This window comes from Homo sapiens, chromosome 7 (assembly GCF_000001405.40).
Source record: "Homo sapiens chromosome 7, GRCh38.p14 Primary Assembly".
NCBI classification, from domain to species: Eukaryota; Metazoa; Chordata; class Mammalia; order Primates; family Hominidae; genus Homo; species Homo sapiens.
Window position 1 is genome coordinate 51,374,846 of NC_000007.14, and position 12,557 is coordinate 51,387,402.

At 52.1% G+C, this 12,557-nt stretch overlaps 2 pseudogenes, besides 1 other annotated feature; one reads left to right on the forward strand and one right to left on the reverse strand.

Moving 5' to 3' along the window:
- CICP17 (capicua transcriptional repressor pseudogene 17) lies at positions 7,400-9,244 on the forward strand (annotated as a pseudogene).
- Positions 9,375-9,529: a silencer, noted in NCBI's record as "fragment chr7:51451917-51452071 (GRCh37/hg19 assembly coordinates)". NCBI's record gives its function as "represses an EF-1alpha promoter that drives an FKBP-Casp9 reporter gene in an ReSE screen in phorbol 12-myristate 13-acetate-treated (for megakaryocytic differentiation) K562 erythroleukemia cells {active_cell/tissue: K562(+PMA)}" and the evidence as "EXISTENCE:reporter gene assay evidence [ECO:0000049][PMID:32094911]".
- On the reverse strand, positions 11,237-12,479 carry LOC101928675 (putative uncharacterized protein FLJ44672; annotated as a pseudogene).
- Positions 12,480-12,557: the final 78 nt, after the last annotated feature.

Sequence of the window (12,557 nt, forward strand, 5' to 3'; positions counted from 1 at the left end):
TGCTTCACCAGTTTGCCTTCCATCAACATCTCACGCAACTATGGCACATTTGTCAAAACTAGGAAACTGATATTGGTACAACATGATTCACCAAACTCCAGACTTTGTTGGGATTTCACCAGCTTTTCCACTAATGTCCCTTCTTCCTTTCCAGAATCCAGCTCAAGAAACCACATGGCATTTGGTCATCTGCCATTGCATTCCTTTACGTGTGATGATCAAAGTAATAATTCTCTCTCTTTTACAGGTGAGGAAAGAAGTGATTCAATGGCCAAAGGATTGCCCTGTCACATCTAGGAGGCGAAGGCAGTGCAATAAAGGGTTTATTACTTGGCTAAATTTAGAACCGGAATTTATGTGGTGTGACCTTGAGCCTTTGTCTTCCTGTCTGAATGATAGGATCATAGATTAATCCTTCTTTCCAGGCAGTGGTGGGGACTAAATGAGATAATATATATGGGCATATGCGTGCCAAAGAAATGGTACCTGCTGCTCTTGTTATTACTGTCAGTATCGCCATCAGGAGCCTTGATCCCAGGTAGACTGCCTAACTGCTGAAACCTAGCTTCTTGTCCAGCGTGGTCAATCATCCCACCTCTCCAGCCTCACCCCAGACAAGACAAACAAGAGCTCAGGAAATAAATGTTAGTTTTGACACCCTTCCTTACCCTCAAAACTTAAAGAGGTTGACACACTTTCTTACCCTTAAAACTTAAAGACCTTGTTAAAACTCAAGGTCAAATAGCTGGCTAGGAGCTTAACCAGAGAGATAACCTAGTTTTTTTTGTTTGTTTGTTTTTTGAGATGGAGTTTTTGCTCTTGTCGCCCAGGCTGGAGTGTAATGGCGCGATCTTGGCTCACTGCAACCCCTGCCTCCCAGGTTCAAATGATTCTCCTGTCTCAGGCTCCTGAGTAGTTGGGATTACAAGCGTCCACCACCATGCCTGGCTAATTTTTGTACTTTTAGTAGAGACGGGGTTTCATCAAGTTGGCCAGGCTGGTCTCGAACTCCTGACCTCAGATGATCCACCCGCCTCAGCATCCCAAAGTGCTGGGATTACAGACATGAGCCACCATGCTGGGCTGTTTTTTGTTTGTTTGTTTGTTTGTTTGTTTGTTTTTGTAGAGATGGGGTCTCTCTCTGTTGCCCAGGCTGAAATAGAACTCCTGGGCTGAAGTGATGCCCCTGCTTTGTTTCCCAAAGTGCTGGGATTATAGACATGAGCCACTTCACCCAGCCTAAGCAGCTAGGTCTTGCTAAGACCTTGTCCCATCCACTGGGCAGAACCCCTCCCTCTTCTCTTCCTCCTCCCCTTGCCTCCCTTCCCATTCAGAGACTGCCCTGGGGAACAGAAGCTACCTGCCGGCTGCTCTTAACTCCACTTGATGGGATGCCCTGCAAGGGACCCCAGCATCTCTTCTGGCCTAAAGGAGCTGTCATAAACACCTGATGAAGGAAGTGTTGCAAGATCATTTTCAAAAAAAGGTGAAATTATGACTTTCACATAGATAGAAAATGAATAGGTATTAACCATTTTATTTAACTCATAAGGGGGCCAGGTGACGTTATAACCAGCTCAACAGGGCAGCTGAGAACAGTCACATTCACAGGTCAGGAATAGTGAAATGAATGTGCAAATGGAAACTGGTTTTTCAACAAGAGAGTGAGGGAGAACCTCTACTAGACAGGGCAATATATCATTTGCCTACAATTTACAGAGCTGTAAAGTAGCTCAAAGACAACAAAAGGCTAGAATCTGATAACCAGGAAGTGTGTGCTGTGTGTAGATAGTGCATTATTTTCTGCTGAATCACATTTTTTTCTGCAGAAGGAAGGTTATGAGCAGGGTACACTCCAGAGTCTCTAATGTGATGATCACTCTCTGAGAATTAGTATGAGTCATATAAGATACAAGGACCTTTCTGGATGGATTGGGAAAATTATATCTCACTTGCAAGCAAGAGGCCTGCAGTCTAAAGTCCCCCTCTTAAGATGCAGGTCTTGGCTTGGCGCGATAGCTCATGCGTGTAATCCTAGCACTTTGGGAGCCCAAAGCAGGAGGATCACTTGAGCTCAGGAGTTCAAGACCAGCCTGGGCAACACAGACTTCATTTCTAAAAAAAAAAAAAAAAAAAAAAAAAAAGATGCAGGTCTTAGCTGGGCACAGTGACTCACTCCCGTAATCCCAGCACTTTGGGAGGTTGAGGTAGGAAAACTGCTTGAAGCCAAGAGTTCCAGACCAGCCTGAGCAACATGGCAAAACCCCATCTTTACAAAAAATTTTAAAAATTAGCCAGGTGTGGAGGTGCATGCTTGGAGTCCCAGCTACTCGGGAGGCTGAGGTAGGAAGGCTGCTTGAGCCCAGGAGATTATCAAAGCTGTAGTGAGCCGTGTTTGCATCACTGTACTCGAGCCGAGGCAACAGAGTGAGATCCTGTTTCAAAAAAAAGGCAGAGCTCAAGACATTAAAGTTTATTTTTCAGTTGTACTTTGGCACCTGTGTTACATGATCGGTTCTGGAACATTCTAGAACGTGGATTTCTGAAGTGGGTCTGTAGTGGAGGCCTATAGAGTTTTCACTGGACCTGCTTTGATCCTGTCTCTGCTGTGCAGCCTCGTGCAGTTATACTAGCTCTCTGATGTGCAGCTTCCTCCTCTTTGAGGATGTCAATATTGATACTTCATATATTATTTTGTTACCTAAACTACATTAAAGTTAGGAGAAAATTTCTTGGAAAATGTCCTTAGTCCCTACAATTCTTACTTATCAGCCCAGCCTCCTCCCCTCTTCCCATCCCGGTCCCGTCCCCTCGGCTCTCCATTCAATTCCCCATTTCCACCATTTGTCTCTCTAGTAGGGTAGAGAGGGGCTTGGGTTGCCCTGGAGGGGCTGGCCTGTGCTGAGTGAAGTTCACACCTGGGTGTGCCCTCAGGAAAGGGGCCCCTGGGGACAGGGTAACCATCAGAAAGGCTCAGGGCTCCCCAGTGCGCCATGCTGTCCTTTGTCCCATCTCTGATTCTGTGCTTACTGTGCCCAAGTATGGAATTGCAGGGTAGCAGCATGGGGACTTCCAGGTGGGCCCCTCCTAGCAGTGGGGGTTTCAGCCAATGAAGAATTCAGTCTCCTGACATAGGTCTCCCTTCAAAAGGGCGTGTCTCCAGGACAGCTGCAGCAATTCCATATCCATATCACTCACTTTCTAGTTTTTTTGTTTTGTTTTGTTTTTGAGACAGGGTCTTGCTCTGTGGCCCAGGCTGGAGTGCAGTGGCGTGGTGCGATCTCAGCTCACTGCAACCTCTGCATCCCGGGCTCAGGTGATCTTTCCACCTCAGTTTCTCAAGTAGCTGGGACCACAGGTGCCCACCACACCCAGCTAATTTTTCTATTTTTAGTAGAGATGGAGTTTCTCCATGTTGCCCAGGCTGGACACTTTCTTTCTTTCTTTTTTTTTTTTGACAGAGTCTTTCTCTGAGATGAAGTCTGGCTCTGTCCCCCAGGCTGGAGTGAAGTGGCATGATCTTTGCACACTGCAACCTCTGTCTCCTGGGTTCAAGCGATTCTCCTGTGTCAGCCTCCTGAGTAGCTGGGATTACAGGCGTGCACTACCACAGCTGGTTAATGGCTAATTTTTGTATTTTTAGTAGAGGTGGGATTTCACCATGTTGGCAAGGCTGGACTCAAACTGCTGACCTCAAGTGATCTGCCTGCCTTGGCTTCCCAAAGTGCTGGGATTACAGATGTGAACCACCGTGCCCAGCCTGCCATCCTTTTTAAGGCTGAAGAATCTTCCATTGTCTAGATAGACCACATCTTGTCATCTGTTCTTCTGTTGATGGACACTTGGTTCCTTCCCCCTTTTGACTATTGTGAGTAATGCTGCTATGAACATGGGTGCACAAATATCTTTTTGAATCTAGTGAGTATATTTTATCTCTGCCAGTGAGTCTATCCAAAGAAAAGGGAAATCATCTTTGCTTGGGGTGTTCTGATTGTGCCTACACTTGGCAGGCACCCTCCAAGTGAGAGCAGAGAAAAGGAAGAAAAGAGGAATGAAAATTGGTTGGGAGGGTTGGGGTGGAGGAGGTGAATAAACACTATTGAGTGCTCCCCTTATGGAAAGATTTATACACGGGCAGCCCAAAAAGCAGAGGCATCTCCCAGAGTTTCATCCAGGTAACACCCCTCCAAACACACCCAAACAGAAGCATGCTAGGACATGAGGAATTACAACGAGGCCATATATATATATATATATATATATATATATATATATATATATATATAACCTTTTGTTTTTTTTTTTTTTGAGACGGAGTTTTGCTCTTGTTTTCCAGGCTGGGGTGCAATGGCATGATCTTGGCAACCTCCATCTCCCAGGTTGAAGCATTTCTCATGCCTCAGCCTCCAGAATAGCTGGGACTACAGGTGCACACCACCACACCCGGCTAATTTTGTATTTTTAGTAGAGACAAGGTTTCACCACATTAGCCAGGCTGGTCTCAAACTTCTGACCTCAGGAGATCCACCTGCTTCTGCCTCCCAAAGTGCTGGGATTACAGGCGTGAGCCACCATGCCCCACCAATAAAAAATTTTTAAAAATTGCTCCAGATGAGAACATCAAGGCTGAGGGTTACTAACTTGTTCACGCTATTGAGTACAGAGATAGGTCTGAGATCTGGGTGGCCTGTCCCCAAGCCAGTGCTCTTTCAGGCCACAAACTTTCTCTTGGCCTGTGCCCACGAAGGGAGCCCAGGGGTCAGTGTGCAAGCTTGCAGAGGGAGAGCAGCCTGGTTACATGCAGGGAGCATGCCCTGGGAGTGAGTGTTCTTTTTTTTTTTTGAGACAGGGTGTCACTGTGTCACCCCGGCTGGAGTGCAGTGATGTGATCTCAGCTCACTGCAACCTCTGCCTCCCAGATTCAAGGGATTCTCCTGCCTCAACCTCCCAAGTAGCTGGGACTAGAGGCATGCGCCACCATGCCCAGCTAATTTTTGTATTTTTAGCAGAGGCGGGGTTTCGCCATGTTGGCCAGGATGGTCTGAAACTTCTGGCCTCAAGTGATCCACCCACCTCAGCCTCCCAAAGTGCTGGGATTACAGGCATTGGCCACCACACCTGGCCTGAGTGTTAATTCTTTTTTTTTCGAGACGGAGTTTCCCTCTGTCGCCCAGGCTGGAGTGTAATGCTATGATCGAGGCTCACTGCAACCTCCACCTCCTGGGTTCAAGTAATTCTCCTGCCCCAGCCTCCTGAGTAGCTGGGATTATAGGCATGTGCCACCATGCTCAGCTAATTTTGTATTTTTAGTAGAGAAGGGGTTTCTCCATGTTGGTGAGGCTGGTCTTGAACTCCCAACCTCAGGTGATCCGCCTGCCTTGGCCTCCCAAAGTGCTGGAATTACAGGCATTGGCCACCACGCCCAGCCTGAGTGTTAATTCTTGAAGCATTTGGCGGCACTAGTGAGGCCCCTGCAGCCAACCCCGTCAGTGGTGGCCCTTGTCCAGAAGAGGCACACCTGTGAGTTGGCCAGCATCAGTCTCTGGTGTTGGGCATGAGGCAGGAAACGAGCCCCTCCGTCTGCTGAGCTGAGCCCCAGCACTCTTTGGACACCCCCGCCATAGTGAGCAGATGCCCAGCAAACATCTTTCCAGGGCTACTACCAAAGGCCAGAGTTTACCTGTGTGAGAGCTTATATGAAACATGGAAGAGCTTCTACCAGTTATGCATTTATTTTCATGTGTAAGAAGGAAAACATAACTAGCCTGTGAACATGACTGCATGGATACATGGGCTCGGCACAAGGAGAAAGCCAGGAGTGAGTGAAAACAAAATAACATGTTGATTTAAGTGAAATAACAGAACAGGATTCCTTTGGTTATAACAATTCTGGAGATGGTCTGTGAATGCAGAAGTTCGGGACTCCCTCCCTGCTCTAGGCTTAGGGCTAGACGCTGTGTTCTGGGCTGAAGCCCCTGGGTTCTACAGAGAAGCTCGACCAGTGCATGGCCCCTGTGGCATTCTCCCAGGAGCCTGTGTGACAGCGAGACCTCAGGGGGGAAAGCACATTCTGTTTAACCTGTCCATGTCCTACAAAATGTCTTAGAAGCGATGAAGCAACAACGATGATTCTCCCTCAAAGGGAAGAAGAATCTGCCAGGTGTCACTTTGAGGAGGCAGTGCTTACAAGACAGGCTGGGCTGCAGAGCCCAAGTGGGAGGTTGCAGTGAGCCAAGAGCATGCCATTGCACCCTGGCCTGGGCAACAGAGCAAGACTCCATCTTGAAAAAAAAGAGAGAGAAAAGAAAGCCATCGAGACACCATTAGGCAATCCACTGTCATGTGAGTTTGGGAAGGAAAGTAGACAAAGGAGAAGGAAGTTTATTTAAAGAAAGAATGGTTGAAACTGCCTAAATCATGGGAAAGATTTAGACATCCAAGTGCATGAAGCTTAAAGATTCCTAAGGAGGTTAAAACCAAATATATATAATCACAATATAATCAAATAGTCAAAAGCCAAAGATTTTTTAAAATGTTGAAGAGGCAAGAGAAAAGTGGCATGACACCAACAAGAGAATCTTCATTAAACTATCAGCAGATTTCTCAGAAGAAACTTTGCAGGTCAGGAGAGAATTGAAGAATATATTCAAAGTGCTGAAAGAAAAAAACTGCCAGCAACTAATACTATATTTGACAAAGCTATCCTTCAGAAAGAATGAATAAATAACATGTTCCCTAGACAAAAAAAGCTGAGGGAATTCAGGAGCACTAGGTCTACTTTAAAAGAAATGCTTAACGGAGTTTTTCAAGTAAAAATGAAAGAAAGCAGCTGGGTGTGGTGGCTCATGCCTGTAATCCCAGCATTTTGGGAGGCCGAGGAGGGTGGATAACTTGAGGTCAGGAGGTCAAGACCAGCCAGGCCAACATGGCAAAAACCCACGCCTTCTAAAAATACAAAAAATTAGCCAGGAGTGGTGGCGGGTGCCTGTAATCCCAACTACTCAGGGGGCTGAGGCAGGAGAATCAATTAAACCATGAGGCGGAGGTTGCAGTGAGCCAAGATCACACCACTGCCCTCCAGCCTGGGCGACAGAGCAACACTGTCTCAAAAAGAAAAAAAAAAGAATGCTAATTAATCACATGAAAGCATAAGAAAATATATAATATTCAGCAGTAAAGTTGCATATACTTGGGAGGCTGAGGCCGGAGAATTGCTTGAACCCAGGAAGTGGAGGTTTCAGTGAGCTGAGATCGCACCACTGCACTCCAGCCTGCCAAACTGCATCTCAAAACAAAAAACAAAAAACAAAAAACAAACAAAACTTGAGGCCTGGTCTCGTGCTCCCCTCCCATCCCCCCTTCCGTGGGTCCAAGCTGCCTTGGCTGAGGAGGGGGCTGAGGAGGTGTGAGCCCCTGCCAGGAACCCCCTGCCCAGACCATGTACTTGGCCCACAGGCCCCTGATGTCTGCGTCCAGCAAGGCCTCTGGTGGTGTCAGCATGTTTGTGTGGAGGAATGTGGAACCTTGCTCTGTGGCTGTGTTCTCCTGGTACTCTGTCCCCTTCCTGACCCCTCCCTGCAGCCGCGTGAGGCCCAGCAACCTGCCAGTCACTCAGTGGCCTCCAACCAGAGCAAAGAACCTGCCAAGTCGGCAGCTGTTGCTCACGAGTGTCCACCAGGTGGGACAGGGAGTGCTGACCCTGGGCGGCCCCCTGCAGCCACCTGCCCTGAAAGCCCAGGGCCCGGAACCCCACACACTTTGGGGGTGGTGGAACCTGGTAAAAGCCCACCTCTCACCATGGAGGAGGAGCCCTGGGCCCTCAGGGGAGTCCCTGCTGGACAGTGAGACAGAGAATGACCACGATGATGCTTTCCTCTCCGTCATGTCTCCTGACACCCAGTTGCCTCTACGATTCAGATGATGTCAGGCCCAGTCCCTCAGTGCCCTGTGCAAGGAACAGGACTCATCTTCTGAGAAGGATGGACGCAGCCCCAACAAATGGGACAAGGACCACATCTGGTGGCCCATGAGTGGCGGTCACGATCTTCAGCAAGCGGCACCAGGCCCTGGCAGGGCGCACCAGGGTCACCCCTACCAGGATAACTGGACCATCAGCCAGATCCTGAGCGAGCGGTGGTACACCCTGGGGCCCAATGAGATGCAGAAGTACCACGACCTGGCCTTCCAGGTGAAGGTGGCCCACTTGCAACAAGGACCGAAAGAAGTCCAGCTCAGAGGCCAAGCCCACAAGCCAGGGGCTAGCAGGAGTGTACAACGGATCGTGGGAGTGGAGCATATCAGAGACGGGCACTGCCACTACCCCTGGGGTGTCCTCTGAACTCCTGTCAGTTGCAGCCCAGACACTCCTGAGCTCGGATACCAAGGAGCAGCTTCTGTGGGGGCAGAACAGCTGCACACAGTCAGGGAACCTGGCTCAGCCTGGCCCAAGCCTTCTCCCACAAGGGGGTACACACAGCCTGGATGGCAGGGAAATAGACCGTCAGGCACTACAGGAACTGACACAGGTGGTGTCTGGCACTGCATCATACTCTGGCCCAAAGCCTTCTACTCAGTATGGAGCTCCAGGCCACTTTGCAGCCCCTGGTGAGGGAGGTGACCAGTGGGCAGCCCTGCTGCTGCCCACCTGAGCTGCTCATTCCCAGCACATGGCCGGTGAGGACATAGCGAGTGACGAGGAGCACATGGTCATCCATGAGGAGGAGGGGGTGATGGTGTCATTGCTGATGACGGCTTTAGCACCACTGACACTGATCTCAAGTTCAAGGAGTGGGTGACCGACTGAGAGTGGGGACAACTCTGGGGAGGAGCCAGAAAGCAACAAGGGCTTTGGTGGGAAGGTATCTGCACCTGTCATTCCTTCCTCCTTTACTCCTACTGCCCCTTGCTGGATCCTGAGTCCCCCGAGTCCCCCGATCCACCTGCAGTTTTTGGCAAAGTCTATGGTCCCACCCCGTCCTCCTCCTACACATACTCGGATGCTTCCTCCTCAACCTTGGCACCCACCTCCTTCTTACTGGGCCCAGGAGCCTTCAAAGCCCAGGAGTCTGGTCAGGGCAGCAGAGCAGGCCCCCTACGGCCCCTACCCCTGGGGGTGGGGGCCCAGGGATGCCTTCCAAGGCGATCTGTTTCCTCCCAATGGATCCTGCCACCTTCTGGTGCAAGAGATCTGAAAGTGTGGGCGACCTGGAGCTACCAGGCCCCTCAGTCATCGTGGTCCCTCCCAACACTAAGGCTTTCCTAGGCAGGAGCTGGGCTGAGCCACCCGGGGGGCAGAGCCTGAAGAGGAGAAACTGACTGGGCTTTGGGGGTCGGGGCAGAGGGAACCCCACGGACATGGATCCCGCACTGGAGGACCCCACCACGCTCAAATGCAAGATGAGAAGATGCTCCAGCTGCAGCCCAAAGCCCAACACCCCCAAGTGTGCCATGTGTGATGGGAACAGCTTCCCCTTTGCCTGTACAGGTGAAGCCGAGGACGGTCTCAGGGAACTGGAGACCGAGAAGGCGCTGTCCTCTTCACTGCATGCGCCCTGGACTAGTGCCGGCCCTGATCATGCAGCTCTTCCAGGCCCACTGCTTCTTCCTGTCCACTAGGCCACAGCCGCCCTCCAGGCCCACTATACACACATCTTCCCCTCCAAGGTTTGTTCTGCCCCTGCCCTGATTCCCAGCCCTGCAGGGGTCCTGACCCCACCTCACCTGGCTCAGACTCTGAAGCTGCCCTACCACTGCCTCTGCCCGAGAGTCACATGAGGCTGAGAGTAGGGGCAGGGGCAGCAGTGGTGCCAGTTGGGGGGCAGTCCAGTGGGAGGAGCCTCAGCCTCGCGGGCTGCTCTGTGGGACTGATGACTGCATGATCTTCTGGGCACCTCACGGATCTTCCACTGCAGGTGAAACGGATGCTGGTGGTGGGTGCAGGGCTGCTGGGAGCCGCTGCATGGGTCCCAGAGGCTGGACTGGGGCAGGTGCCAACTGAAGCTGCTGGGGCAGCATGGGCAGGATGTTCTGCACACAAACCTTGAAGAAGAAGATGTGTGCATAGCGGGTCCACTGCTGCTGCCCCTGCCCTGACTCCCAGCCCTGCCTGACCCCACCTCACCCTGCTCAGGCTCTGGCGCAACCCTGGCTGCCCTGCCACTGCCTCTGCCCCAGAGTTGGGGCCTCGACAGCCTGGCTGGAAGGGGCACCCCAGCCCTGCCTCAACACCTGGGTCCCTCCATAACTACCACAGGCAGGTGGGCGACCCCAAAGAAGATCCCAGGACTCACAGTACCCCGTGAGAACATGGACATTATGTGGGGGTAGCAATGGAGGGCAGGACGGTTATCTTCTCCCGGGTAAAGCCATTTAATCCTTTCAGTTTGGGACAGAATAAGGCCTGCTTCTCTCTTTTTTTTTTTTTTTTTTTTTGAGACGGAGTCTTGCTCTGTCGCCCAGGCTGGAGTGCAGTGGTGCGATCTTGACTCACTGCAACCTCTTCCTGCCGTGTTCACGCCATTCTCCTGCCTCAGCCTTCTGGGTAGCTGGGATTACAGGTGCACGCTAACACGTCCAGCTAATTTTTGTATTTTTAGTACAGACGGGGCTTCATCATCTTGGCCAGGCTGATTTCGATCTCCTGACATCGTGATCCGCCTGCTTCCACCTCCCAAAGTGCTGGGATTACAGGCATGAGCCACCACGCCTGGCCAAGGCCTGCTCCTCTTATATATACCCCCTACCCCTGCTGCTGTGCTGGGGGAAAGCTGGGCAGTTTCCCTCCTCCGAGCCCCTGTACATACCATGAAGTGTGGGACCTTCAGAGCTTTTCACTTTTCGGAAAATAGCTCCTGCTGGGGCTACAAGATGGAGTGTGAAGAGGGCCTTGGGCCACAGGGAGGCGCCTGTGGAATAGGGGGAGTTCATGCACCCCTTCTTTCCCCAGAGGGGCTGGACTCAGGTGAGTATGGGTGTGGGGGCTCCTGTACTTCGACACAGGCAGTGGGAGGGTTTTCTCCCCATTCCCTCTGCACTCCCAACTTGAGTTGTACTTTTTAAGAAAGTGATTCACCCTGCCCTTGCCACCTTCCCCAGAACAGAACACGTTGATCATGGGCGATATTTTTCATTGTGCCAAAAAGTTGCCATGACCGTCATTAAACCTGTTTTAACACCAAATAATAAGGAAAATAAAATAAAAAATTCGGGCTTGGTGCAGAAACTCACTCCAAATAAATTACCTACCAAAATATTTATATAATGGTGGAAATATTCCAAAATTCCATATTTTGGGATTTATACACGAAAGATAAAAAAATTAGAGGCCAAGAGGCTGCCAGAAGGGAAAAACGGGGCCTGGAAAGGCCGTTGTGAGGAATGAGCTGGGCCTAAAGAGGCCACTGGCCAGCAGGAGCTGGGCCTGCCGAAGTGGCCGAAAGGCAGGAGCTTTGGACTGGGGAGGCTGCAGTGAGGCGAGAGCTAGCTGGGCGTGGAGAGTCCACTGTGAAGCCGAGGCTGGGCCCGTGTAGGCCTTCGAGAGGCAGGAGGCCGGGCCTGCCAAGGCCGACTGGAGGTCAAGTTCTGGGCCTGAAGAGGCCACCAAAAGTCAAAAGCGGGGCCTGGGAAGACTGCCGAGAGCCATGAGCTGGGCTGGGCCGAAAGAGGCCACTGGGAGGCAGGAGGAGCTGGGCCTGGAGAGGCTGACTCGAGGAAGTTTTGCACCTGGAGAGGCCGCCGAGAGGACGGAGCTGGGCCCGGGGAGGCCGACTTGCAGCTCTTCCAGGCCCACTTCCAGGCCGACTTGAGGACGACTTAGGCCTGCAGAGGCCGCCGGGAGGCCAGAGCTGGGCCTGGAGAGGCCGACTTCAGGACGATTTGGGCCTGCAGAGGCTGCCGGGAGGCCCAAGCTGGGCCTAGAGGAGCCCACCGACCGGAGGCCGTTTGGGGCCTGGAGATGCCGTCGGAGGGCAGGAGCTGAGCCTGGAGAGGCCACCGTGAGGCCGGAGCTGGGCCTGGGGAGCTTGGCTTCAGGAAGTTGTGGGCCTACCAGGGCCGCTGGAAGCTGGGCGGGAGCTGAGTCCAAAGACCTTATTGGAAGGCCAGAGTCTGGCCTGGAGACGCAGCCGGGAGGAAGAGCTGGGCCCGGAGAGGACGCCGGGAGGCTGCAGGTGGGTCTGGAGAGGCCGACTTGAGGAGGCCCAGCCTCTGCCTCCCGCATGGCGGCCTCTGCAGGCCCAGCTGTTCCTCCTGGCTGCATCTCCCGGCCCAGCTCCTGCCTCCCAGCAAGCAAGCTCTTTTGGCTCAGCTCTCGCCGGCGTTTGTAGACCCCGAAGTTTCTGCAGCCAAGCTCTTCAGGCCCACATCCTGCCTCCCAGTGGCCTGTACAGTCCCAGCTCTGGCTGGAGAAGAGCGTCTGCAGGCCCTGCTGTTGCCTCCCAGGGGCGTCTCCAGGCCAAGCTCTCGCCCCACTGCGGCCTCCCGGGGCCAAGTCCCTGCCTGCCTTCCGGCAGCCTGCGTGCGGCCCTGCTCCTCCCTCACGGTGGCCTGTTGAGGCAGGG